This window comes from Homo sapiens, chromosome 13 (assembly GCF_000001405.40).
Source record: "Homo sapiens chromosome 13, GRCh38.p14 Primary Assembly".
Taxonomy (NCBI): domain Eukaryota; kingdom Metazoa; phylum Chordata; class Mammalia; order Primates; family Hominidae; genus Homo; species Homo sapiens.
In genome coordinates, this window is record NC_000013.11 from 29,113,648 (window position 1) to 29,141,457 (window position 27,810).

General features: G+C 39.5%; 1 protein-coding gene and 1 long non-coding RNA gene across 14 annotated transcripts in view; one reads left to right on the forward strand and one right to left on the reverse strand.

Moving 5' to 3' along the window:
* Positions 1 to 27,810, forward strand: part of MTUS2 (microtubule associated scaffold protein 2) — a 685,985-nt gene that overhangs the window by 293,685 nt on the left and 364,490 nt on the right. The window lies entirely within an intron of this gene.
* LOC124903144 (uncharacterized) lies at positions 4,038 to 26,691 on the reverse strand. Its single transcript, XR_007063739.1, has 2 exons — positions 26,120 to 26,691; positions 4,038 to 7,189 (listed from the first exon to the last, which is right to left on the reverse strand). It is a non-coding gene; the product is annotated as an uncharacterized LOC124903144 (long non-coding RNA).

Consider the following 27,810-nt stretch of genomic DNA (forward strand, 5'->3'; position numbering starts at 1 on the left):
TCTAGACTGGATTATCGGTTTGGATTTTTTTTTTAAAGATATAACAATACTTCTTACAGCAGCATCTTCAAGATTCACAATGGCAGTTATTTCTTCCTTCATGTGGAGCTGCACCACATGAATTCCTAAAGACTGGAACTTTAGGGTCCTGGGTTGGTGATACGGTTTGGATGTGTGTCCCTACCTAAATCTCATATTGAAATGTAATCCCCAGTGTTGGAGGTGGGGCCTGGTGTGAGGTGATTAGATAATGGGGGCGGTTTTCTTAAATGGCTTCGCACCATCCCCTTTGGTATGTCCTTGTGATAGCAAGTGAGTTCCCCCGAGGTCTGGTCATTTCAAAATGTGTGACACCTCCCCCTGTCTCTCTTATGCTCTTGTTCGGACTGTGTGAGATACCTGCTCCCCCTTCACCTTCTGCCATGATTGGAAGCTTCCTGAGGCCCTCCCTAGAAGCAGAAGCCACTATGCTTCCTGTACAGCTTGCAGAAACATGAGCTGATTAAACCTTTTTTTTTTTAAATAAATTACCCAGTCCCAGGTACTTCTTTATAGCAATATGAGAACAGACTAATACAGTTGGTGACATAGAGCTAATGAAGATCTCACGTTTTCACTTTAAAGCTTTGTATAGGAGTTGGGACTGGGGATGCTTTTCTAAGACCATAGATGCTGTCTTTATCCCCACTTGTTTATTTTACAAGTTCATACTGTTGATCAGAAGACTAGTTCATAGAAGATGGAATAAATCATCCATTGTGATCAGAGCCATATCCATCCTCATATGTAAGAGCAGCAGAGCAGATGTAATTTGACATTTTGTTCAAGATACCTTCATAGTGTCTAAATATAATAGTTTCACTCTATGTAGGTAAAGGTGGACAGTATCAAAACTAGAAGGAAAAGTAGGAGGGGGAGAGAAATATATTAAATCAAAGGAAAGATGGAGGAAGTAAGGAAGGGAAGTGAGGGGCTTGAGGTGCAGATAGTAAGATGGCCATGGTAGGGAATAACTGAGAAGGGAATAAGGAGCCATTGGTGCACTATTATCCTCTTCCTGGTTTTCTTGAAGACCTCCTGTCCAGCTGCTCGCTTGCCCTGCCCTCCCCAGGCAGGGATGCAATGAGGGTCAGAGCTAACGCCTCAGCTTGAGGCAGTTCTTGGGATCTCTTAAGGTGTGGAAATTTGTATTTTCAATTAAGGGCAATGCCAGATTACTTCTGAAATACTGTTTAAACAGAAAAATTTTTTAAGTAGGTGCTTAGATAAAAAGGTAACTTTATTTCTGTGGCATACACATCTTACCCCCATGAATTTGCCATGCAGATGATAGAGCTATTAAATTACTGTAGGCACCTGCATTGCATATTCTTGAGCCAGAGCCACCTGAATAGAAAGTAATGCAAGATGTGAGAGAAATGTACAGGATAAATGAAATGAAATGTAGATTTTTTTTATCTGCTGGCAGGTACTATTAAAATGAAATATTACAGACATTGTGATTAAGAATGTCTAGATCCCATTAATGCGATAACTGCCATGAATATGTCTAGTCTGCCAACAGACTAGGTGAATGTGGTAAGTTGTCAATGCTAAGCTGATGTATTCTGTTGAATGTTCTTATGCGGTTGAATATATGCAGGTCGTACATTTGTGAGACAGTTTTGGCTCCTTTGGCGATGTCAATAAAATAGCTTTCCCAACTGGAGTTTGAATATCAAGGAGTCCTATGTGCATGTGTGAATTTGGCATTGGGATCTGAAGGTTCCTTTCTGGCTAGTTGTTAAGGGTGATTTTGACCAGGCCATATGTCAGCCAGCCACATATTCTGGAGTAACCAATAACCAGACTCACTAAAGACTAGGCATTGTTGTTTCTTATTTTCATTTAGACTTAGTTCATCTTGTCAAAAATCATAAGAAAAAGATAACTGATTTAAATATTGTAAAGATTGTATGCATTAAAGATAACGTATCTTTGTATCTAATAAGTCATTCATAATTACATACGAAAATGTAATTTATTGGTTTCCTTTAACTTCACAAGGTAGTGAAACCTAAGGAAGGAGAGGTGGACTGGTAGCCAGGACCACTGGGCCCTCTTAAAACTAACTGGCTGGGTGGCCGTAGGCAAGCTAATTAATTTACTTGTTTGGGCCTCAGGTTCTTCATCAGTAAAAGGAAGCATTTGAACTCAGTGATATTCAGTGTTCCCTCCAACTGATTCTTTAAAAAGAAGTCTTACACATGTTAAGCTGAATTACAGAATGTGTGTGTTTATTCTACTTAAGGGTGGTGGGGCCATAACAGAGCATGATATCAACTAGACCAACCAGGCATTATAGGATTGTTGCTGAGTCTTTACTGTGTTGGCATGTAGATATCTGTGAATAATGTGCTGTTTTAACCTGGAGCATACCGAGACATAAGTAAAATATGAGTCAGCTTCCATAAATCTGCTTCCATGCCTGGCCCCTAGGCCCCATGTTCTCTATTGTGCTAGGGGCTATATGGGGTTCAATTCAGATATCTGTCAAGCAAGTCAGAACTTTATGAAGACAAAAGGGATAAATTGAGAATAACTAAATCCATAAGATAGAATTAGATGTATTTACTATGTATTATTTTTACCCTAAATATATGCAATAAATTTAGATTATGTGTGGTAGGTTTTGTCTAGTTCTTCCTAAGGAACTGGTGAGAACTTTTTCTCACTATAGCCAAGACATTGAGATTTTACTTTCTTATATCAGGGGACTTAGTCTATGGTTCTATTATGTACATCAATTCTTCCTTATCCATTCCTAGGGATGAGTTCCAAGACCCCCAGTGGATGTCTGAAACCTTGGATGGTACCAAAGGATACATATACCGTGTTTTTTCCTATACATACATACCTAGGATCAAGTATGACTTACAAATTAGACACAGCAAGAGATTAAGAACAATAATAATAAAATAGATAATTGTAATAATATGCCAGCCCGTCACTCTTCTTGCACTTTGGGGCCATTCTTAAGTAACATAAGGGTTCCTTGAACACAGGCACTAAGACGCCGCCACAGTCCATCTGATCACTGAGATGGCTATTAAGTGACTCAGGGTAGGTAGGCAGGGCTTACAGTGTGAATCTCCCAGACCAAGGGATGATTCCCATCCTGGATGGGACTGAACAATGAAGCATGAGATTTCATCTTGCTACTCAGAATGTTATGCAATTTAAAACTTATAAATTGTTTGTTTCTGGAATTTTTCACTTAATATTTTTGGACTACAGTTGACCCTGGGTAACTAAAACCATGGATAAGGGGGGACTACTGTACTAATTTCAAGTTGACTGCAAGTATAGTGTTTCTTCCCAGCATTGCTAGGTAGGGTTACTTCTTCCAAGAAGTTCTGAAAGATTAACTCAGGCCCTTCTCCTTCTTTGGGAGTATTTCTTTACCGTGTTCATGATACTTTCTCTAGTTTGAGTACTTGGTTCTCTCTTTGTGTGCTGAGGTTCTGTGAGCAAAGAATGAGCTATTTTACAATCCTTTCCTTTCTTGATAGCCCCTCAGCTTGGATCTGAGGTTAAGATGGATGGGCTTCTCTGGATGCTGCAGCCACAGCATTTTGTGTCTCCCTGCCTTCTGCGACCCATGTGGACTTCCAGTTAAGCATGCCCTGCCCTGGCCTGACCAGGTGCTGGACCCCTGTCATTCTTATCACCTGTGCATGAGGACAGAGGGCCACCAGCAGCTTCAAGAGCTGCCCTCCTCCACATCTTTTAGTGGCTTCCATGCTCGCGTTAAGTATTAGCAGATGCTGGTGTCCCTCCCCACCCACTCTCCTTGGTTTTCAGGGTTGAGTACTAAAAACACGACCACAGTAATGCAGGGCTCCTCCATCCCATTCCTGTGCATGAGTGTTTATGCATGGATGTAACTGTGTCTACATGTACACACTCCCCACCTCTTGCACAAATAAGTGGGACAGGAAAGCGGCCACCCAAGGATCTCCCACCATAGCCGCTGTGACAGAAAGCTGAGGGGTGAATTATTTTTCCAGCACCATTTATTAGAAACTCTGTGTGGCAAGGAGTTGACACATCAGACAGCTGCAGCCGTCAACTGCCAACACCCATTTACGCTGACCCCTTTGATTAGAAAATGAAAAATGCCACCACACTTCGGGCCCTGTCAGCCGTGAGGTGTGCCTGTAAGGTTGGCGCCAACACAGGAGACTTCTGTTGCCACTTGGAAGATTTGTTAATGAAGGAAATGAGCCAGGGCGGACCCTGTCCAGATGGTTTCACTGGAGAAATGCGCTAATTAGGCTGGAGGTCAAAGAGCTGCTGCTGTTTGAAGCAGGTGCTATTAGTTTTGTGTGCACCAGTGGCTTTGAAGGTGCATGAAAAATAGACCACGTCTCCCTGGTTTTTATTACAATTAAGGAAAAGATGTGTTCTCTGCCTGGAGCCTGGTTTCTCACCCAGGAAATGTACGTTGCCTTGAGAGAGTCCTGTGTATCTCTTGGGCTGTCTTCATAGTCATCACTAGCTTCCTTCTTCCCAAGCCCTTGTTTACCATCACGGAAGCCTAGAATAGTGATACTGGCACCCTAGATATTATCCAGGTGACCACATAACATTCCACAGGGGAGGAGATGGATGCCAGGAGAGGTGAGATGATTCTTATTACTCTTCCAGGGTGAGGTTAGTGATGGACACTGGGCTGGAACCTGGCTCTGATGTCCTCATCCCGTGATGCACAGCAGGGTAAGAGGCACTGAATGTAGCACCATGGCTTATTGGAGGGAGGCATCCATGTGTAGCTTGAGTCTGAGGATGAGATTCTATTGTTGAAGTCCTACAACATATTAATAAATTGGCAGCCAACTAGACTCTCACAGTTTCCTATGGTCTTCCCTCTGCTGAGTGCTCGTGGGAAGCTGAGTTCAGCTGCCTCACATTTGTGGGAGTCTGTTAGCAGTGTGTAGGTACTGGCTGAGGTTCTGTGTGAGTGATCCCTGGAGAGCAGTGGGGGTGGTGTGAGTGTTTGTGCTGAGCATGGAAATTGGCATGGCCTTGTGCTCCTTCTCAAAGTCTCAAGAGAGGCAGCAAGCTGGGCAGGACAGTGACTAGGACTATAGGAGAGTGGGCATCTTGACACTGACTTGTGCTGTCACCTTGGACAAATCACATAATCCCTGTGGGTGACCAGTGTCCTCCCTGGGAAGTGAGGGAGTGGACGGTGAGTCCTGAGATGCCTTCATGGATCCCAGTTGTCTGGTCCTGTGACTCCAGAGCTGAAGATTTGCAGGATGTTTTAGCACCCCTCGAACACAAGTTTGCTTCTTCTCATGTTTTTATTCAGAAACTCTAAGGAAAAGGCTCCTAATATTTCTTGTACGTTTTTCTCTGATCACAATTGGAGGACATACAAGATACGTTTTCTATGTATAATATTATTGATAGAAATTCATAATTGCAGAGCTATATATCTAAAACATACACATATTGCATTTTTCTCATTTAAGGAAATCTAAACTCTTATGGTAGTGCTAACAGGATAAAATCCTGAATCTCAGTACATAGATACACATTGGACCTGATTAACTGAGGAATAAATTCCCCAAAACTAATTTTAACAATCTAAATAGTGGTAAGGTTATATTGCTTTCATATAGTTTGTTTTGTTGCTGGACCTTGTGGACACTGCATAACAAAAAAAAATGATAAATGGCTTAGTAAATAGTAGAAAGCAGTTAGAGATCTATTATTAGGAATTTTAAGTTTGAAAGCATATATGACAAAAAGTTTTCATATATTCTTTTATGTGATATTTTGAAAATACCTCTTTTGTGAAATTTAGTAACTTAAAAACTTTAGTCCGTTAAGCATTATAAGTTTGATATATATAAATTATCTGATTATGTAATTAAGGTAAAAAGTCAACTAAAATTTGCAGGGAAAGATTCCGGTCTGATTCTGAAGACCTGAGCACCAGGAGTACTGAGGGCAGGAGAAGATCCCTGTTCTAGTTCAAGTAGTCAGGGAAGAGAGCAAATTCAACCTCCTGTAGCCTTTTTATCCCATTCAGGCCCTTAAAGGATTGGATGGTGCCCATCCACATTGGGAGAGGCCATCTGCTTATTTAGTCCACCAATTTAAATGCTAATATCTTCCAGAAACACCCTCACAGACACACCTAGAAATCAAGTTTAATCAGCTAGCTGGGCATTCTGTGGATCAGTGAGTTTGACACAAAATTAACAATCACAAGAATATGTAAAGAACCTTTACAAATCAGTAAAAAGAATACATAAAAATAGGTCATGTTCAATTGCAAAATGGGCATAGGACATAAATAAATGCACATTCATAAGAAAAGCAAAGCCAATATCCAACAAACTTATGATAAATTTTTTGCCATTACAATTGATATCATGAAACAAATTAACCAAAATATTAGACTGACGAAGATTGAAAAGGATAGTAATACATAGAGTATTGGTGAGTATGTGGCAAACTGGGCAGTCTCATACACTGAGGTCAAAATCACAAATTGATATTATATTTAAGGAGATACTTTACTAATATTTAAAAAAGAAACCTTAAAGGTATTCATATCATGAATACCTTTCTTTCAAGTAATTCCACATAAGAAATTACCTTGAGAAAATAATCAAACAGATATATTTAAAATAATGCTCCTTCATTCTTGTTGTAATAGTAAAATATATTTTCACAAATATCCATGATTATTTAAATGGAAAAAATCAGAACAGTATTATGCATGAGACTATTTTTATACTTGTATATTAAAATATATAATAAAAGATAAATTCCTAGATTACTTTCTATTTTCATGTAAATAGTTGGGATTACTGGAGACTTTAAAACATGTTTATTTGCTTATATTTTCTAAACATGGAGCATGAAGTAAGAAAAGAAAAAAGAATTTTTTGGAAATATATCGCCACTTAAAAATAAGAGAAGAATAAAAAGAAAGGGACTAATTCACCTGTAGTTACCAGGGACCAGAGAAGGAGTTTAAATTTCAGTGTGAAGTGAGGCAGGAGCCCTCCACTAAAGGATGGGCTGATCCCCTTGGGGTCCGATGTGCATTGCAATTCCCTCTATTATTGAATTCAGTTCATTCTTGCAGTGGAGATCAAAGTCAGGCTGAAACAATCTCTACAACATTCTGACAAAAATTAAAAGATGAAAGAAGGTTGTATAAAATCATTGATATAGCAAGAAAAAGCAGAACCTGCTTATGTTCAGAAAAGATTTTGATAAAAGCCACTTTTATAAGTCATGTCATGTTTTAAAATTGACAGTACATGGAACAAAATGCCACAGCACTCCCCTAACAAAGTGTAAGAGCATTTGAAATTTTGCCATCTTCCTGAATTTCTCAAGGGAGTGTTATTTCAGTGGTCATAAAATTCCCCGTAAGTCCTTATTACTTTTTTAGAGGTAACAATATAGACATTTTATGGGACAGCTATAAGAAATAAATCTCACTTATCCCTAAGGAAACTATCTTAGGATGAGCTCAACAGATGTCATTAGGCATGGATCCCTGAAAATGTCTTTGATTGCTCTCATACTAAGAATAACTACAGAAATATTAATTAAGAGCCCATTGCTTTATTGCTTTTATTCTGTGCTGGACACTTGAGTAACAAGGCAGAAACAAACATGGATGATGAAGATCTGGGCGTTAAAGAGCTTACTTTATATTGCTTAAGAAAAAAGACTCCTTATTTCCCTATATCAAATTAATTTTATGTAATGAAATACACACACACACACACACACACATGCAAGAGATAGAGTGAGTGAGCACAGGCAGTGTCATGTAGATAGATATGGGGAATTTTAAAAAGATATATAATAATGAAATTGAGTTCCATGCAAAGCCTTTTCTGGTGAATGCCAGGAAAGAGCACAGAACTTCCAGAGAGAAGGCCTAAGTTCAAATCCCTGCTCTGCTAGTCACTCACACTTTCACTTTTTCACTTTTTTTTTTTTTTTTGATACAGAGCTTTGCTCTTGTTACCCTGGCTGGAGCGCAATGGCATGATCGCGGCTCACCGCAACCTCCGCCTCCCGGCTTCAAGCAATTCTCCTGCCTCAGCCTTCCGAGTAGGTGGGGTTACAGGCATGTACCAGCACACCCAGCTAATTTTGTATTTTTTTTTAGTAGAGACAGGGTTTCTCCATGTTGGTCAGGTTGGTCTTGACCTCCCAACCTGAGGTGATCCGCCCTCCTCGGCCTCCCAACGTGCTGGGAGTACAGGTGTGAGCCACCACACCCGGCCCACTTTTTCACTTCTAAAAACCTCACTTCTCGCTGTATTGTCAGAATAAAAACATGTAATTGAGGTTCCTTGTAGGCTAAAGGTTATCAAGTGTAGTACAAGTAGGTATACTTGTTGTATAACTAAATCTTGAGCAGAAAGTTGTACTCTTTACTGATGCAAAAACAGCCCCTGGATTGAGTCCCCTGAGTAGGGGTCTGATATCCTAGGTAAGCAGTTGAAGCTTTGAGGAGGGAGAAGGGGCTAAGTTTCACTTGGGCCTTAAAAGACAGGAGGCTTTGGGTTGGTGGAAATGATGCTGTATTAGTCTGTTCTCATGCTGCTATGAAGAAATACCCAAGACTGGGTCATTTATAAAGGAAAGAGGTTTAATTGACTCACAGTTCCACGTGGCTGGAGAGGCCTCAGGAAACTTACAATTATAGCGGAAGGGGAAGCAAGCACCGCCTCTTTCACATGGAGGCAGCAAGAAGTGCCAAGCAAAGGGGGAAAAGCCCCTTACAAAACCATCAGATCTCGTGAGAACTCACTCACTATCATGAGAACAGCATGAGGATAACCATCCCCATGATTCAGTTACCTCTCACTGGGGCCCTCCCATGACATGTGGGAATTGTGGGAACTACAATTCAAGATGAGATTTGAGTGGGGATACAGCCAAATCATGTCAGATGGGGAGAGCATTCCACTGGGACCAAGTCACTATCTGTCTAAATCAGCCCTCACCCTGTGGGTTCTATCACCACCTATGACTGTTTGATTACCTTTTAGAGATTCTTATAGGAATTGAAATTTCTACCTTCTTGATCAGAAACAGAAAAAAAGACTAAATGGTGCTACTTTATTTAAATAAATTCACATCCCTGTCCGTATCACTGGCTCTCTCCTTCAATCCTTTTAAACTCTGTCAGAAAAATAGATCATTCCAGGAGGGAATTTTTAAAATGTAGCTTTTGTGGACAATTTCTAATGATCAGCCACTATCTATATTGTCCCCAGTGCCTAGTTCCATGCCTGGTCTATACCAGGTGCTAGAAAGTGTTTAATAATTGGAAATAATTTAAAAACTATGGTAAAGAGCAAAATTTAAATTTCTAGCATGTTTCCTTTTCTTTATCCCTGACGTTTCTATGCTTCAGATTTTAAAAAAGCTTCCTGTTTTGCATTAATATTCTCTCAATACTTGAAATTTTTATTCATTTACAATCAGCACTTGTTTTAGTTTCTCTAAATAGTATCCCTTTTGCTTCCTTTCACTGTTCTTTTTTTAAATTATTGTTTTCTGTTTATAGTAGCTACTGATTTTATTTTTTTCATTTTTCATAGGTAGTTTAAATACTCTGTGATTCATTGTGTTTATAATTTTCATTTAAATTTTTTCTTCTCTGAGAATGTAATTTTCATTTACATTTCATCTTCATTTGTTGACTTACCACATTGATATTTCTATTTTAATATTTAAAACACAAACCTTTGGGTGGGTGCAGTGGCTCACTCCTGTAATCCTAGCATTTTGGGAGGCCGAGAATAGCGGACCACTTGAGGTCAGGAGTTTGAGACCACCCTGGCCAACATGGTGAAACCTTGTCTCTACTAAAAATACAAAAATTAGCTGGGCATGGTGGTGCATTTCTGTAATCCCTGCTACTCAGGAGGCTGAGGCAGGAGAATCGCTTACACCTGGGAGTGGAGGAGCCAAGATCATGCCATTGTTCTCCAGTCTGGGCAACAGAGTGAGAGTCGTCTCAAAACAAACACACACACACACACGCATACACACACACACTTGAAAAACATATTTTTCTGAATGATGTATTGAGAGCCCTGGATAAACTGGGAGTCTCCTTAAAGGGTAAAACCCAAGTGTTCTCAGAACATGGTGGTAGTGTCCCCGGGCCTCCCGCCTCATTCCCTAGGCTGCCATCCCCCTGCAGATGCCCACTGCCCTCATTCCAGGGGGTATTGTCCAGCCAGGTAAGTGGACTCTGTGACTCTAGTTGCTTAGGTCAACACACCATTGCCAAATATTTGACTATGTCATCCTTTTACAGAAATGACAAATAATTCTCTCCCTTGTTAATAAGGTAAACACATTAGCTTGGCATTCAGGATTTTTCTCAGTCTACCCTGAACTTCTTACCCGAAGCCTCATTATTCCATTGGTAATGAGGAATGGAACAGATATTCAGGAAACTTCTATTTTAGGACTAGGCATGTTGTTGCCTGTTTGAATTAGAGGGTATTTAAGATGAAGAAGACTTGGTTCTTTCCATTACAGGTCATAGATTAGTGGAGGAGGATACTGATATTCTAATTTAATGTAAATCATTACAATATAGTGTAATTTAATTGAATGTAAATTATTACAATATAGTATAATACTTAAAGAAGTAGAGATATGAAAAAATAAAACACATAAAATCTGGTTGCCATTAAGTTGGCTACTATTTTTTTTAAAAAGCCCAGAAAATAACAAGTGTTGGTGAGGATGTGAAGACATTGGAACCCTCATGCATTGCCGATTGGACTAGAATGGTGTACCCACTATAGAAAACAAGATGACAATTCCTCAAAAAATTAAAAGTAGAATTACTGTGTCACCCAGCAATTCCACTACTGGATATATACCCCAAAAATGTGAAAGCAGGCTTGTGAAGAGATATTTATGTATCCATGTTCCTAGTTGTATTATTCACAACAGTCAAGAGGTGGTAACAGACCAAGTAACCATTGATGGATGAATGGATAAACAAAATGTCATTTATCCATATAGCAGAAGACAATTCAGCCTTAAAAGGAAAAGAAATTCTGACACATGCTACAACATGGGTGAACCTTGAGTACATTGTGCTGAGTGAAATAAGCCAGACACAAAGGACAAATAAATACTGCATGATTCCACTAATAGGAGGTACCTGGAGTACTCAGATTCATAGAGACGGAAAGTAAAATGGGGTTGTCAGGGGCTAAAGAGAAGGAGGAATGGGAAGTTACTGTTTAACAGGTATAGAGTGTCACTTTGGGAAGATGCAAAAATTCTGGAGATGGATGGTTGTAATTGTTGCACAACAATGTAAATGTACTTAATACCACTGAACTTTACACTTAAAAATAGTAAAATTATATTATGTGAATTTTACCACAGTTAGAAAATAAATTTTAAATGTCCAATGTCAGCCAATTATTTAGTTGTTAATAAAGAAATAGAAAACTAAATCAAGTGGGCTAAAATGTCACTTTGATAACTATAGGACAGCTTGTAGGGCCAATGGGGTGTAGGTGTTTACATCCAATAGTGGTAGCATCTTACAAATAAATCTCTTGCATCAGTGTGAGTGATGGGGTATGTGATAGGCATCACATTGAACTTCTTGAGCAGCTTCCTTGGTTTAAAATGAGTAGCTGCTTGAGTCGTTTGCAATTCAACCCAAGAAACACTTAAGGTTGCCAAGCAACATGACTGCTGTCAACAGAAGCAAATCTAACATTAATTTCGTATCTCCTAAAATGAAAGAAGAAACGTTGAATCTAAATGTTTTCATTTCTAGCTACTTTATTGAATAATATGAACACTTTGTCAAGAATATGCTGTGCTGTTTCTACATGAACGGTTTCATGCAGCCACTCCTGTGTTTTGTTTTCTTAGCCAAAGCACCTTAGGTTTTTCAAGAGCCCAGAGGCAACCTGCCGCAGGATTTACACTCTGAAAACTAATAGCTTTACCTGGGAAGTTATAAAAATCACTCAGTAAAATGAAGTTGTTAAAAGGCAAACTCTTTATTTCATGATGATTTTTTAAACCCAGAGGACTTCTTTTTGGTTAAACTTAGCAAACAAAGACAATAGTTAGATTACTCAGTTCACTTCCTGCACAGAGCCACAGAACAGACTTAAATGAGACAGCTTTCTGTTTGAGGCATCCCCTTACTGAATTCTGTGATCCACAGAAATAAAGTCAGTGGCAAATGTACAAAATTGAAATGATTCCACTGGATTGGCCAAAGGATAGCCATAATTGGGGATTCTCTTTTCTTCTGAAGCAAGAACTGTATATTCTACTCAGACTGCTGTGTTCACTGTCTTTAACAGACTATCTGGAGTAGACAGTGAGGAGAGGAATATAGCTATGTATGTGAACTACTTTGACACGCATTTAACTTCTCCATATACCAAAAATGAGGTTGGTGGGCTGTCCTCATACCTGCACTTCCTCTTTCCCTTAACTCCTGCCCTTTACTGAGAACCCACGGGGAGGAGGTCTTTTCAGTTCCTTACCTCTATGACTGCAGTAACCTTCAATCCCATGTGAAGAGTTCATACGTGTAGTCACATCCTGTGCCTTGTCAGCCTCTGAAATCTTTGTTCTCTGTGCTAACCTACAGCCGTATTTCCCATTCTTTCATTTCTCGCCTCATTTTCCACAGTGGCTACTCCAAACCTCCACCACACTACAGAATTCCCATTTTACTGCCACTTACCCCTCTCGCTCTACCTGTCTTTAGCTCTGCTTTCCTGTTTCTATCCAAAGCTAAAGTAATTTCTTCATCTCTGCCCTTTACTTCGAGCTTGTCCAACCTGCAACCTCCTGGCTCCATGCAGCCCAGGATGGGTTTGAATGTGACCCAACATAAATTCGTAAACTTTCTTAAAACCTTATGAGATTTTTTTGTGATTTTTTTTTTTAAATTTTAGCTCATCAGCTGTTGTTAGTATATTTTATGTGTGGCCCAAGACAATTCTTCTTTCAATGTGGCCCAGGGAAGCTACATATTGGACACCCCTGCTCTACTTCATCCTACAACCTGAAGACCTTAGAATGCCTATGTTGGGGTCCTGCGTCTCTACTCAGGAGCTGGGAGACCTTGGAAAGTTCACTGGCCACTTTGTACACCAGTTTTCTCATCAGCACATGTGGTTAATGGTACCCATATCACAGGGCGATTGTGAGGATTAAAGAGAAAATGCATGTAAAGCACACTGGACAGTGGTGGGCATGTGGTCAGTGCTCAGTCAGTGTTCAGTGCTCTGATCACCAGCCTCTGCCCCAGGTGCTGTCTTGGGTGCCCTCTCCGTCTGGGCTCCTGGGTGTCTCTTGTGTACCCACATGCGTCTTGCTCACCTGCTCCTGGCCCCAGCCATTGAGCTGCTCCCACACCACCTAACTTGTTCTTCAGCCTTAAAACCTTAGCTTTAGTAGCACTTCCTCCAGAGATCCTTACCTGATATCATGCCCCCTCCCCCTGCCCAAGTGTGAGTGAGAGGTCTCTGTCCTGTCCTTCCACACTCCCTGGATTTCCCCTCTGGGTTGGTCAGTTTTCTGTGTCAACATGGCTAGGCCTGAGTACCCAGTTATTCACTGGACACTCATTTAGGCCAGAGTACCCACTTATTCACTTGGATGTGAATCTAGATGTTACCATGGAGGTATGTTGTAGATGTCCTTAACATCTATAATTTGCTGACTTTAAGAAAAAGAAGTTATCTTCTTTAGCCTGGGTGAGCCTCATCCAATCATTTCAAAGGCCTTAAAGAGCAAAACTGAGGCTTCCCTGAAGAGAAAGAAATTGTGCCTCAAGACTGCAACATCAGCTCCTGCCCCCAAGTTTCCACCCTGTAGGCTTGCACAGTGGATTTTGGCTTTGTCAGCCCCCATAATTGGGTAATCTCATTTTTTGAAATCTCTGTGCATGTGTGTGTTTCATATTCTGCTGATTCTGTCTCTGGACAGGGCTGACTGCAGCCTCTCACAGCTTGCACATGGCTGCACCGGGCCCCGCTTGCCCTGATTCTCCTCTGATCCGATAGCTGCTCACTGGCAGGAGCCACATTTCTCCATGTGCTTGTCCCATAGCTTAGTTAATATTGAATACTTCCATTTTTCCTGCTAAGCAGCGTGGTTTTACAGATTAGTGTATTCAACAGATGTTTATTGAATTTTGGGGGTATGGCACATACCTCGCAAAGTGCTATACGTACAAACCTGAAAAGAACCTATCCCTGCTTTTCCAGAGCTGCAGGCTGGTGAGATCAGTGTTGAAGCAAATGTTGATGTGATGCGTAATGGAGGTGCGTACAGAGGAATTGAATGTATTAGAAAGGTGTCTAAGTTTGAGACATCAAAGAAGGCAGTAGAAGAAGAGACAAATTTGAAGGATCAGTTGAGTTTGCAGGTGGGACAGACAGACAGAATAGCCATGTGAATTTGTAGAGGCATGACACATTGCAGCAGCGAGATGGGATTAGACCTCCTGGGCCACTGCTGGGCAGGCAGGCCTTTCTCAGGCCGTGAAGACATGCAGCGGGACCAGAAAATAATGTTCAATGAGGAGTGAGTTGGATTTATGAATTAAAGACCACATAATAGGCGGCAAAGGGAGTGGGTTAGAGAAGGTGAAACTCAAGGAGAGGAAACCGGTTAGGAATCGCCCAGAGACAGATGATGCAGAGGGACTCAGATGGCGACAGGAAGGAGAGGAAAGGATGGGCAAAAGAGGTCTTCAGGATTATTTCGCATTATAAATACCAGAAAATGTGAGTGCATATACATTAAATGTCAATAACATGATTTTGAAAATCTTACGGAAGGTGAATTATACACCTCAATGAAAAGGGAAATAAAGAACTGGCAATCTTTACATGAGCAAGGATGAAAAATATAATTTCCCAAAGTCAACAGTGAATATTTATGAATGGTGGCATTTGGGGTAATTTTAGTTTTTTTCTTTATCTTCTAATCATTATTTAAAATTTTTGATGCTAGCCATGTGTCACTCATGTTGTTAATTCAAACATAAAAAAAATGCCAGGTTGCCTTCAACTGTATTCCTCACTCTGTGCCTACTTTCAGTTTTGATCCATGTCTGGGTGTTTTGATCAATGCCTGGGTGTTTCATATATATAAAACTGAACAAAGTCTAAATGTATTCGGTGATTACATAAAAAATAAGATAATGAGGAAAACCTTCATCTTTGATGCCTTTATATTGTGCATCAAAGGATGACCCTAGTTTAAAAGGAAATTGTAAATGATAAAACAAAGGTTTAGTTCAAACCATTGCCCTAAATGTCGGGCCTTGTAGAACATTTCTTTAGATTTCTCTAAATGTGGTGGCAAGTGCATTTCTGTGGAATTGCGGACACTCTGTGCACTTTCTCTGGTTTATAAATATTTAGTACTATGATTACTCATATATTCAGGTATTGGAATGGAACTGTTTTCCCCTGGCAGTCTTTTTTTTTTTTTTTTTTCCCCATCCGGAATGACATTCCAGATTCAGAAAGGACTGGCTGTCATTTAGCTCTGTTATTTGAGAGAACTGTAATTCTGTATTTCTGTCATTGGGCCAGAGTCCAGATTCTGTATGCTGGTCTTTTTTTCATAATTGCATTTATAAAACGAACATTTGGGCTCATGATGGCAACCTTTCCCGAAGGTTGGATTCCCTGTGCAAAAGACTGGAGGGTGATCTTTCCACTTAGAATATGTTTCCCAAGCAAATCTACCTTGTCTTCTTCATATCATTGTTGTTTAAACAAAGAGGTTCAGCCTATTTAGTAAAGATGACTGTTTTCTTTCCATTTTCAAACTTATTTTTACTTTGTAGTTTTTTTTATTGATATATTTGTTCATATTTATGGGGTACGTGTGATGTTTTGTTACATGCATAGAATGTGTAATGATAGGAGGAATCAGTTCTAAAGATGACTTTTTATTTTAGGTGATGATACGTGATTGTGAGTGAAAGGACAACAAAATGAGTCATGGCTGGTGAGGAACTGCCTGTGCCCAGCATGCTGGTTCTCAGGGGCAGCCTTGGTACTTCAGTATGGTGTGCACTGTTGGGCTTGGGCTGTCATCATGAAGCAGAAAATAGTCTCTCTTCAAAAAAGAATGGTGGGGGCAGGGTGAGGTGAGGGTTCTTGGTCCATTAAGGTCAGAACATTGAGGATTAGTTTTATTTTTACACTTAGGTGAAACCCCAAGACCTTTCTCGGTACTGGGGAGGCCTTACTGCTGTTTGTCAATCATTGCTGTCATGGAGCCTTCACCCTTTGTGTTTTCAGAGTGCTTTATAGCCAAGAGCTTTGAAAGAGCAAGGTTAGGGTTTGTCTTGGTCATATGGAGGACAGAATGGAGTGAGTCCAAGAAGAGAGAGGATTTGGTCATGCCTTGGATATCCTTACTGAAGGGAGCAAGAATATGTGTAGATTTTGAGTATGTCATTAATTAACACGTTTAACTCAGATCAAATTTCTCTCCACTCCAAAATCTCCAGCTCTTTCTTTGACTCAGAATAAAGCCCAAGTCCTTATTATACTGGACACCACAGCCCCATGTTATCTGGTCCCATTCTTCCCTGACCCTTCCTTTGCTTCCCCTCCTCACTCTGCTCAAGCCACTCCAGCCTCCTCGCTCTTCCTTCTGCCCAGGCACCGGGCTCACCCTTGCTCGAGACCTGAAATGCTTGTCCCAGATAATTCTTCCTTCTAGCCTTTGCCCAATCTCACCTTCCCAGTGAGGCCTGCTCAACTGCCCACATTAATGACATGACAACCTTTGCCTTCTGCCCCTGCACACTCAGCCCTCTTCTATTTTTTTCTTGCACTTTTCACCTCTAGCACACTTATTCATTATGTGTATTCAATTTCTACACATTTATTTATTTATTTATTTTATTTATTTTTGAGATGGAGCCTTGCTCTGTTGCCAGGCCGGAGTGCAATGGTGTGATCTTGGCTCACTGCAACCTCCACCTCCTGCGTTCAAGTGATTCTCCTGCCTCAGCCTCCCAAGTAGCTGGGACTACAGGCATGCACCACCATACCCAGCTAATTTTTGTATTTTTAGTAGAGACGGGGTTTCAGCATGTTGGCCAGGATGGTCTCAATCTTTTGACCGCGTGATCCGCCTGCCTCAGCCCCCCAAAGTACTGGGATTACAGGCGTGAACTACTGCAACCAGCCTATTTATTTTTATGTGTATTGATATTGATTATCATTCATCTCCCTCTGCTCCAGGAAGGGAGAGATCCTCATCCCTTTTATTCACTGATGTATCCCAAGTGCCTTCAGCTGTGTATGGCACTCAGGAGGTCCTCACATAGGTGTTGAATGGAATTGACAGAAGATTCAATGGGTCAATTTTTCCACTGGTCTAAAATGATACTCCTTGTGTCTATCATGGGGATGCCTTGAACAGAGAAGCATCATGATGTTTTAAAGTCCTCTTACCTTCTTATGACATGCCAGGCCTTGAGCTAATCTCTTTATAGTCATAGAGGTAGCTGTCATCCTTAGTTTGTAGTTAAGAGAAGCTGAGCCCTAGAGGTTTTGGAGATTGACAGAACCTTGTTTTGAATCCCAGTCTTACTGACTCAAAAGCTGATTGTCTTGACCACTATGACATACTGGATATGAGACAGCTAACTTAGAGATGCCCTGGTTACCTCCTGGCTGGAATGATGTTACCCCTGAGACAGCAGCCAGTGCTGCCAACAGATCCCAGACAGCAGGTGGGGGCCATTGAGGCCCAGCTCAGGAGGACTTGGCGTGGGCAGACAGCTGCCTTCACATGGCCATGGCAATGGTGGGGCAGAGGCATTGTCTTTTTCCACAAGGAAACAGGACAGCCTGAGACATCTGTAGGTCAGCATCAACGGCTGGTCCAAGCCTGCTGGGAGCTACAGGGATTAATGCTGTGAAAGATGAGAGGCTGCACTCTTTAGCTAAAGAAGCCTGGCTTCCTGCTCACCTCCACTTGGCTTAGCCATCCCTCTAGATGGCTTTAAACAATGTTTAGTTGTCTTATTTCATCACAAAAGCAACACATGCTCACTGTGGAGAGTTTGGAAAACACCAGTTTGTTCCCAGTATCAAATGAAAGTCATCCCTAATTCTACCATCCAGAGACGTTGATGATGACATGATTTTGATTGAATCCTTACGTGTTGTGGTGCTGCACTAGCATTTAGTGCTGATTTCCCATTTTAAAAATCTTGACCACAAGTCTGTGAGGTAGGTATTATTTGCTCCATTTTACTGATGAGAAGCAGAGCAGTTAAATGACCTCCCAAGATGACACTGCTGGGAAGTAGTACAGCCAGGTTTCAGCCCAAATATTGACATGACCCCAGAACTCTGGAATGAGTACGTTTCATATACTTGTGTCTGTGTGAGTGCATGTGCATGGTGTATATACACATACATATACTTTTCTTTTTTTATGGGATAAAGTAAAATCTTTACTGAAGGAATAGAACTTAACCTGGAGAGATACAGCCTGATCCTGGGTGACTCAACATTATGCAGATTCCTGTTCTCTTCAAATTCTTCTATAAATTACTGTCATTGCATTCAAAAACCTAATTAAGCTTTCTATAGCTTTTTTTCCCATGTTTGTTATTGTGGTAGAATACACACGACAAAATTTGGCATCTTAACGATGAAGTGTACAGTTCAGTGGCAGTAAGTACATTCACATTGTTGTGCAACCATCACCACCACCCATCCACAGAACTGAAACTCTGTACCCATTAAACAACAACTCTGCATTTCCCCCAACCCTCCAGCCCCTGGAAACCACAATTCTGCTTTCTGTCTCAATGAATGTGACCACTCTAGATACCTCATATAATTGGAATCATACAGTATTTGTGTTTTTGTGACTGACTTATTTCACTTATATAATGTCCTCAGGGTTCATTAATGTTGTAACATCTGTTAGAATTTCCATTCTTTTTAAGTCTGAATAATATTCCTTTGTATGCATAGACCATATTTTGTTTATCCATTTGTGAATGGACATTTTGGTTGCTTCCACATTTTAGCTACTGCAGTTAATACCACTGTGAACCTGGGGGTACAAATATACAAATATCTTTTTAGGACCCTGCTTTCAGTTCTTTTGAGTATATATCCAGAAGTAGAATTGCTAGATGATGTGGTAATTCTATTTTTAATTTTTTGGGGAGCTGCCATACTGTTTTCCGTAACAGCTGTACCATTTTACATTTTCACAAGTGCACAAGGGTTCCAGGTTCTCCACATTCTTGACAACACTTGTTATTTTGTGTTTTTTTTTTTCTTAATAGTAGCCATACTAATGGTTGCGAGGTGCTATCTCATTATAGGTTTGATTTAATTTTCATAATGATTAGTGAGGTTGAGCATGTTTTCATATGATTATTGCCATTTGTATTCTTCTTTGGAGATCCGTCTCCTCCAGTCCTTTGCCTGTTTTTGAATGGTATTGTTTGTTTTTTGTTATTGAGTTTCAGGAGTTTTCTGTGTATTCTGGATATTAATCCCTTATCAGATATGCAATTTGCAAATATTTTCTCTCATTCTGTGGGTTGCCTTTTAATCTGTTGGTAATGGTTTTTGATATACAAATTTTTAAAATTTTCAGAAGTCCTCAGATTTTCTTTTATTGTCTGTGCTTTCAGTGTCATATCTAAGAAATCATTGCCAAATCCAATGTGGTGAAGCTTTTGTCCTGTTTTCTTCTAAGAGCTTTATGGTTTTAGGTTTTACATTTAGATGTTTGATCCATTTTGAATTAACTTTTGTATATGATGTTAGGTAAAGGCCCAACTTTGTTGTTTCACATGGAAATATCCAGTTTTCGAAGAATCATTTGTTGAAATGATTTCCCTCCCCCCATTGAATAGTCATGGCACCTTGTTAAAATCATTTGACCATAAATGTAAGGGTTTACTTTTGGATTATTTATTCTACTTCATGAGTCTGTATGTCTATCTTTTTGCAGTACCACACTGATTTGATTACTGGGGATTTGGAGTAAGTCTTGAAATTAGGAAGTGTGTCTCCTCCAGCTAAATGTTAGTCAATTTGTTGATCTTTACAAAGAAACAGCTTTTGGTTTTATTGATTTTCTCTATTATTTTCTTATTCTTTATTTCCTTCCTGTACTCTGCTCTACCCTTTACTGTTTCCTTCCTGTATTAGTTTTGGGTTTAATTTGTTCTTCTCATTCAAGTTCCTTAAATTGTAACATTAGGTTGTTGATTTAAGATCTTTCATGTTTTTTATTGTAAGCACATATGGCTACAAATTTGCCCTTTGGCACTGCTTTTGTTTATTCCCTAAGTCTTGTTATGTTGTATTTTTATTTTTTTTGTCTCTATTTATTTTCTAATTTCCCTTGTGATTTCTTTTTTGATTTGTTGGTTGTTTAAGAGTGTGCTGTTTAATTTCCACACATTTTTGAATTTTCACTTTCCTTCTGTTACTGATTTCTAATGTCGTCTGGTTGTAGTAAGAGAAGAAAATTTGTAATCTGTCTTTTAAAATCTATTGAAGCTTAATTTGTGGTCTAGTATATGTCTAGGTTGGAAAATTTCCCATGTGCACTTGAAAAGAATGTGAATTCTGTTATTGGGTAGAGTACTCTGTATAAATCTAATTGGTTTATTGTGTTGTTCAAGCTCTCTATTCTTTACTTATCTTCTGTCTGGGTTTCCTGTAGGTTATTAAGAATGGGGTATCAAAGTCTCCAACTATTACTATAGAATGATTTCTTTCTTCAGTTCCATCAGTTTTTGCTTATATATTTGATGGTCTGTTATTAGATGTTTAAATGTTTATAATTGTTATATATATCTTCCTTCTGTATCACGCTTTATTTTTTTGTTTTTTGAGACAGTTTCACTGTTGTCACCCAGGCTGGAGTGCAATGGCACGGTCTTGGCTCACTGCAACTTCCGCCTCCCGAGTTCAAGCAATTATCCCGCCTTAGCTTCCCGAGTAGCTGGGATTACAGGCATCCGCCACACACCTGGCTAATTTTTGTATTTTTAGTAGAGACGGGGTTTCACCATTTTGGCCAGGCTCCTGATCTCAGGTGATGCGCCCGCCTTGACCTTCCAAAGTGCTGGGATTACAGATGTGAGCCACCGTACCCGGCCAACACTTTTTATTAATATATACAATAGTCCCCCTTACTTTTCATTAATATAATATATACAGTAGGCCCCTTTATCCATGATTTTGCTTTCCGAGGTTTCAATTACCTACTTCAACCAAGGTCCGAAAATATTAAATGGACACTTTCAGAAATAAACAATTCATAGGTTTTAATTATTGTATGCCCTTCTGAATAGCGCAGTGAAATCTCACACTGTCCCACTTTGTTCCACCCACGTCAGAACCATCCCTTTGTCCAGCATATCTATACTGTGTGCACTACCCACTTATTAGTCACTTAGTAGCCATCTCAGTTATCACGTTGCAAAAACAGTGGTTTCAGGCATTCACTGGGAATATAGGAATGTATTCCCCACAAATAAGGGGGGACTACTATAATGTCCTTCTTTGTCTCTTATAACTTTTTTTGATCTAAAGTTTATTTTGTGGTAGTATAGCCAGTTCTGCTCTCTTTTGGTTACTGTTTGCATAGAACATATTTTTCTATCCTTTCACTTTCAACCTATTTGTGTCCTTGGATTTAAAGTGAGTCTCTTGTAGGCAGCGTATAGTTGGATCATGTTTTTGTTTTTTATCCATTCTGTCAGTCTCTTTTGATTGGAGAGTTTAATCCATTGAATTTAAAGTAATTACTGATAAGGAAGGACTGAGTTCTGCCATTTTGTTATTTGTTTTCTATATGCCTTATAGGATTTCTGTCCTTCACTTCTTGCATTACTATCTTCTTTGTGTTTAGGTGATTTTTTTTTTAGTAAAACATTTTAATTTCCTTCTCATTTCCTTTTGTGTATTTTCTATAGTAATTTTGAGATTACCATTGAGATTACATTTAACATCCTAAAGTTATAACACTCTAATTTAAATTTATGCTAGTTAAACTTCAATAACATACAAAATCTCTGCTCCTTTAACAGCTTTGTTTCTACCACTTTCTGTTGTTGATGTTACAAAATTACGTCTTTATTTGTTGTGTGTCCAAAAACATAAACTAATAATTTTGTAATGTATTAGTCTCTTAAATATGTAGGAAAAAATGAGTTACCAACCAAAGTTATGATAAAACTAGCTTTTAGACTAATAATTGCTTTTAAAAAATTGTATTAGACTCTTAAGTCCCATAGAAAACAAAAAGTTGAGTTATGCATCATGGTTACAGTAATACTAGCTTTTATAATTGCCCATGTTACTACCTTTACTGAGATCTTTATTTCTTCATATGGCTTCAAGTTACTGTCTAATGTCCTTTCGTTTCAACCTGCCCTCCTTTTAGCATTTCTCGCAGGGCATGTCTGTTGATTAGGAACAAACTCCCTCAACTTTTATTTGGGAATATCTTAATTTCTCCTCACTTTTAAAGGACAGTTTCGCCAGATATAGAATTGTGATATTGTGAAATATATATGTGGTCATTGTCCCTGTTTACTGGCATATAGCTCCTAAAATCCTTGGAATCTCCTGAGCGATAAGAGGGTCTTTTGCATGTTAATGAGATGACAAGTGGCTGGTGGCCCCTTAGATAGCTTCAGGATGGTGTCTGGTCACCCGAATGACCAAGGCTTCATCAGGAGGTTGGGACTTTCAGTCCTACCCTGCAGCCTCTGGGCAGGGGAGAAGGGCCAAAGGTTGAGTTTGATCACCAGTGACTAATGATTAAATCAGTCATGTTTGTATAATGAAATCTCCATAAAAGTCCAAAAGGACTGGTCTCAGGGAGTTTCTGGATAGCTGAACACATGGAGATGCCTAGAGGTTGGCTGGCCCAAAGAGGACATGGAAGTTCTGTACCCCTTCTCCCTTACCTCACCCTATACATCTCTTCCATCTGGCTATTCATATGTATTTTTTGTACTGAGTTTTGTGAGCCACTCTAATTTGTTAATTAATCTAGCAAATTAATCAAAACCCAAGGAGGATATCATGAACCCTCAGTCAGAAGTATATGTGACAACCTAGTACTTGGCAACTGGCATCTGATATGGGAACCAGTCTTATGGGACTAAGTAAGCCTCAGCCTGTGGGATGTGATGCTATTTCCAGGTAGACAGTATCAGAATGGAATTGAAGGATACCCATTTAGTGTCTGCTGAAGAATTGATTGGTTGCTGGTAGAGAGAAATCTCCCCACAATTTGGTAGTCAGAGATGAAATATTCTGTGTTGTGTAGACTGTGAGTGGTTAAGCAGAGGAAAAACATTTTGTTTTTTTCTGCTGCATCCTTATAAGAACTCTTGGTTGACAGTTTTTTTTCTTTTATCACATTGACTATATCAACCCACTGCCTTCTGGCCTCCAATGTTTCTGATGTGAAATCTGCTGATAATCTTATTGAGGATCCCTAGTATGTAACCATTTATGTCTTACTGCTTTCAAAATTATCTCTGTCTTTTAACAGTTTGATTATACTGTTTCTTGGTGTGGGCCTCTTTGAGTTCATCCTGCTTCCGTGCTCATCCTATCTCCCTGCTTCTTGGATGTTTATATTCATGTTTTTCACCAAATGGGGATTTTTGGCCATTATTTCTTCATATATTCTCTCTACCTTTTTCCCTCTTCCTCTGGGACTACCGCAGTGTATTGCTGGTTGACCTGATGGTGTCCCACAAGTCCCTTAGAGCTCTGTTTACTTTTCTTCAGTCTTCTTCTTCTTTCTTCTTTCTTCTTTGTTCTTTCTTCTTCTTTCTTCTTTCTCCTTCCCCTCCTTCTTCCTTCTTTCTTCTTTCTTCTTTTTTTTGAGACAAGTCTCACCCTGTCGCCCAGGCTGGAGTACAGTGGCGTGATCTTGGCTCACTGCAACCTCTGCCTCCCAGGTTCAAGCGATTCTCCTGTCTCAGCCTCCCAGGTAGCTGGGATTACAGGTGCACACCACCGTGCCTGGTTAATTTTTTTTTTTTTTTTGTATCTTTAGTAGAGATGTTCTCTTGAACATGTGCTCCGAATTTCTAATCTACCCCATATATATGGTTGCAGTTGAATGTCCTAATCTTTGATGTCTACCTCCCAAAAGAGAAAAAAATGAAAGAGGTTGAAAGAAAAAGGCATTGGCCTTTCAATCCTGTGGAAGTTACTTCAGGATGAGCAGGAGGGGGAACAACATAGGGAGGAGGTGGAACATCGGTGCCTCTTTTTCTGTACCTCTGTGATAAGAAGAAGTAACAGGAGTGGAGCACAGATCCTTGACATTTGGAAGACAGAGTCCTTTTACTCACTCCAGCTCCTGCAAGTTGTGTTCAGATTGCTCTAGGAATGCACACAGCTGCCTGCTGTGGGACTGGGGACTGGGGGATGGGTAGCTGCTCCTTGGAGGTGCTAAGAGGGGAAATTGACCAAAATTAACTACAATTTGCTATCCTCACCCTCCCCAGGAAGTTGTAAGCCTTCAATAGACTCCAGAGTTCCAAAACAGTTACATCAGACAGATTCTGCCAATGTAATTGTTGTCTGGGTGGGGAGGCAGATTTCCTGTACTTCCTACTTTGCCATCTTCTCAGAATCCTCATATGCTTTTATAATACCAAATATATAATATAAATATTATACATTATTTATATAAATAAAAGATATGTATATAAATTATATTTATATATTTTTAATATTTATATTTGAGTTATATAAATATAAACTTTATAACTCAAGTACATTACTGGAAAGACTATATTAAAAATTAATAGATGGATGACTAGAGTGGGATGACTAATGAGTGCAGGGTTTCTTTTGGAGATGACAAAAATGTTCTAAACTATAGCGATGGTTGTACAACTCTGTAAACATAATAAAAACCATTGAATTGTGTTTTTTATATGGGTAAAATTTATGATAAATAAATTTTTTCTTAAAGCTTTTTTTTTAAAAAATAACTCATCCAAAGTCAACATAAAGCCATTTTAAAATGCCACTGCATAGGCAGTTTTGCTGAAAATGAGCCACCACCATATGAATAATATTTTAGAATAAGTTGAGTGAAAAATTATCAGTTATTTAATAAGGTATTATTATAGTAAATTTCTGAGTCATTTTAATTTTTTAAGACAAAGCACATCTCCCATCTGCTTTGGAAGCTGGTTTCTCCCCTTTGCCCCCAGTGATATGGAGTAAGTACCTGTTTATGTTAATATGTTAAGTTCAGTTTCCTCCTGTCTTTTTTTTTTTTTTCTTTACTAACATGCATTGAGTGTTTTCCACGTTCCCAGCCTTATGCTAGGTACTTTGCATGTATTATCTCAGGCACTTATGCATGTAAGCTGTATTCACATATGTGCTGACACACAGACAACCCTAATGAGAGGTTCTTTTATTATACCCCATCTTACAGTGAGAAAGCACAAGCACAAAATGGTTAACTCAAGCTGATGATTACATATTTGTATTTTTTCTTTCTTGGATTTTGCACTGGGATAATGCTCAGAAAGCTCTTCTTTACACTATGCATTTCTGTTTTCCTCTAGTGCTTCACATCTTTATATTTAAATCTTTAAGCTATCTAAAATTAACTTAGGGCCACAGTTAGGCAAGACTTTCATTTTAACTTATAATAAATAGTTTGGTAGTGGTTCTAAAACAGTATGTAAAACTATTCATTTCCCCCCATTTGAGATGTTTATTATGATGCTAAATTCTAATATCTAATATAATACTAAATTTAATGTCTGTTGATGGACTTTGTTCACTTTACTTAGTCCAATTTGAGACAAAGAATTTTGTACCCTTTTACTATCTCGTTATCTTCACTCTACGGTTTGGTCTTTGTGATTTCAGATCTAGGTAATTATTGCATTGTCTTATATTATAAGGAAATGGCACTGTTTTGCAAAAATATACAATGATTATTTAGAGTCATATTTGTTTTAACTGGTTTTAACACTTACCACTCATCCTTTTGTGCCATGATTCCTCATTCTCGTGCTCTTAGACTTATGGTTGGTGAAGATTCTGGGTCTCTGAGACAGCAGGCACATGGGCAAAGAGGAATAACTATCCTCCCCTTCCTCTGGCGCTCTCTCCATCAGCCAGTGTTTCCAGGATTGGTTTTCCTCTATTAATCATCACCTGCCCTGTAGTCAGCAACGTTTTTGCAAACCTTTAATCGAAACACGAGGTTGTCTTCAGTCGTGGTTGTCAGCGTTGAGAATTTTCTTCTTTCTCTGAGTTTTCACGGATGAGAAACTGCGCTGAGGGCTGCTACAGATGTCATTTAAAATTTTTAACTTTTCTTCATCAACATAGAGAGATTTATTTATGAATATAATGCATAAAATCTCTCCTGATTTTGTCAAAATAAGCAGTTTCTTAAATGAGGAGAATATCTTCATTTAGGAATAAATGAAGAAAAACGTTTAAATTTAGAGTCTTCAGACTTTTAGGAATAAGCCATGAAGAGGTGGATACCCACAGGATGGGAAGGTGATCTTCTCACAGGGGTGACCTGCTCCTGAAGAATCTCAGGGCTAAGCAACACAGTATTTTCTGGCACTGCTTACAAACAGTTGTGGCCAATGCAAGCATGACTTTGCTGTGAGGTTGGCTTCTCTGCAGTCTCACGTCCTGTCAGACAGCATGCCAGCGTAGTGAAGGAGAACAGAAATCAGTGCTAAATGCCGCAGTTATTTCTGGAATGTCTTCCTGTTGTAGGAAACCAAGTTGCTAGTGTTTGGTGGTGTTCTGAACAAATTGTTCCTCATTCTAAGTGATGGTATGAGGGCTTACTGGCCTGGAAGATGATCACCCAAAGGTATTTGTTCATTCGTTTGTTTTTTTCACCTCTGCCTGCCCCAGTTCTCTGGTAGGTGATTAGGAAACACCAATCACTAGAAAATCACCTCTTCCTCTGTTGAGTTTGGTGACTAGTCATTAGCCGTATTTTCAGGGAGCTCATCTGGTGGACATTCAAGAAGGCTTCCCTCATGGGAAGTAGGCATATGCAAATGACTGTGTGTCTGCAGGTGATACTTGAAAACACAGCAAAGTATATGCTCATGCTCATCCCATGCCTGGCATTCTATTTCTAGATTACTGGTGTACCTGCTGACAAAAATCGGTGTCGATGTGCACTAGATATTAGGAGGGGTAAAGAAATAGCCTTAGGGGTCCCCTGACCCCTTCCACCATCAGAGACAAATTTACATTCTTATTCTGAACTAAATTTGTCATTAGCATAAAATATATTAATGTTTGGTTATTTGAGGAAATTGAAAGATAGAAAACTTAATTACATTAATACCAAACTTTACCCACTTATATTTTTCCCAGTCCACAAATGTTGAGCACCAATTGTATGATAAGCACTGGAATACAGCAGTGAGAACCCGGACCTTACAGTGCAGTGGAGCAGACAGACAGGTGGAAATTATTTCAGAATGCAGTGTGGTAAGTGCCACGATCAGGGTAAATAGAGGGTTGCCCAGGAGCACAAGAGAGGAGTGTCTTACAATATTGGGGGTCAAGAAGCTTCCTGAAGGTAAGCCTTAACAGATACATTGGAAATATCCAGGCAGATAGTGAGTAGAGGACGTTTTCGGGCAGAAGTTACAGCCTAGAGATGCTGTTGGAGAGGTGCAGA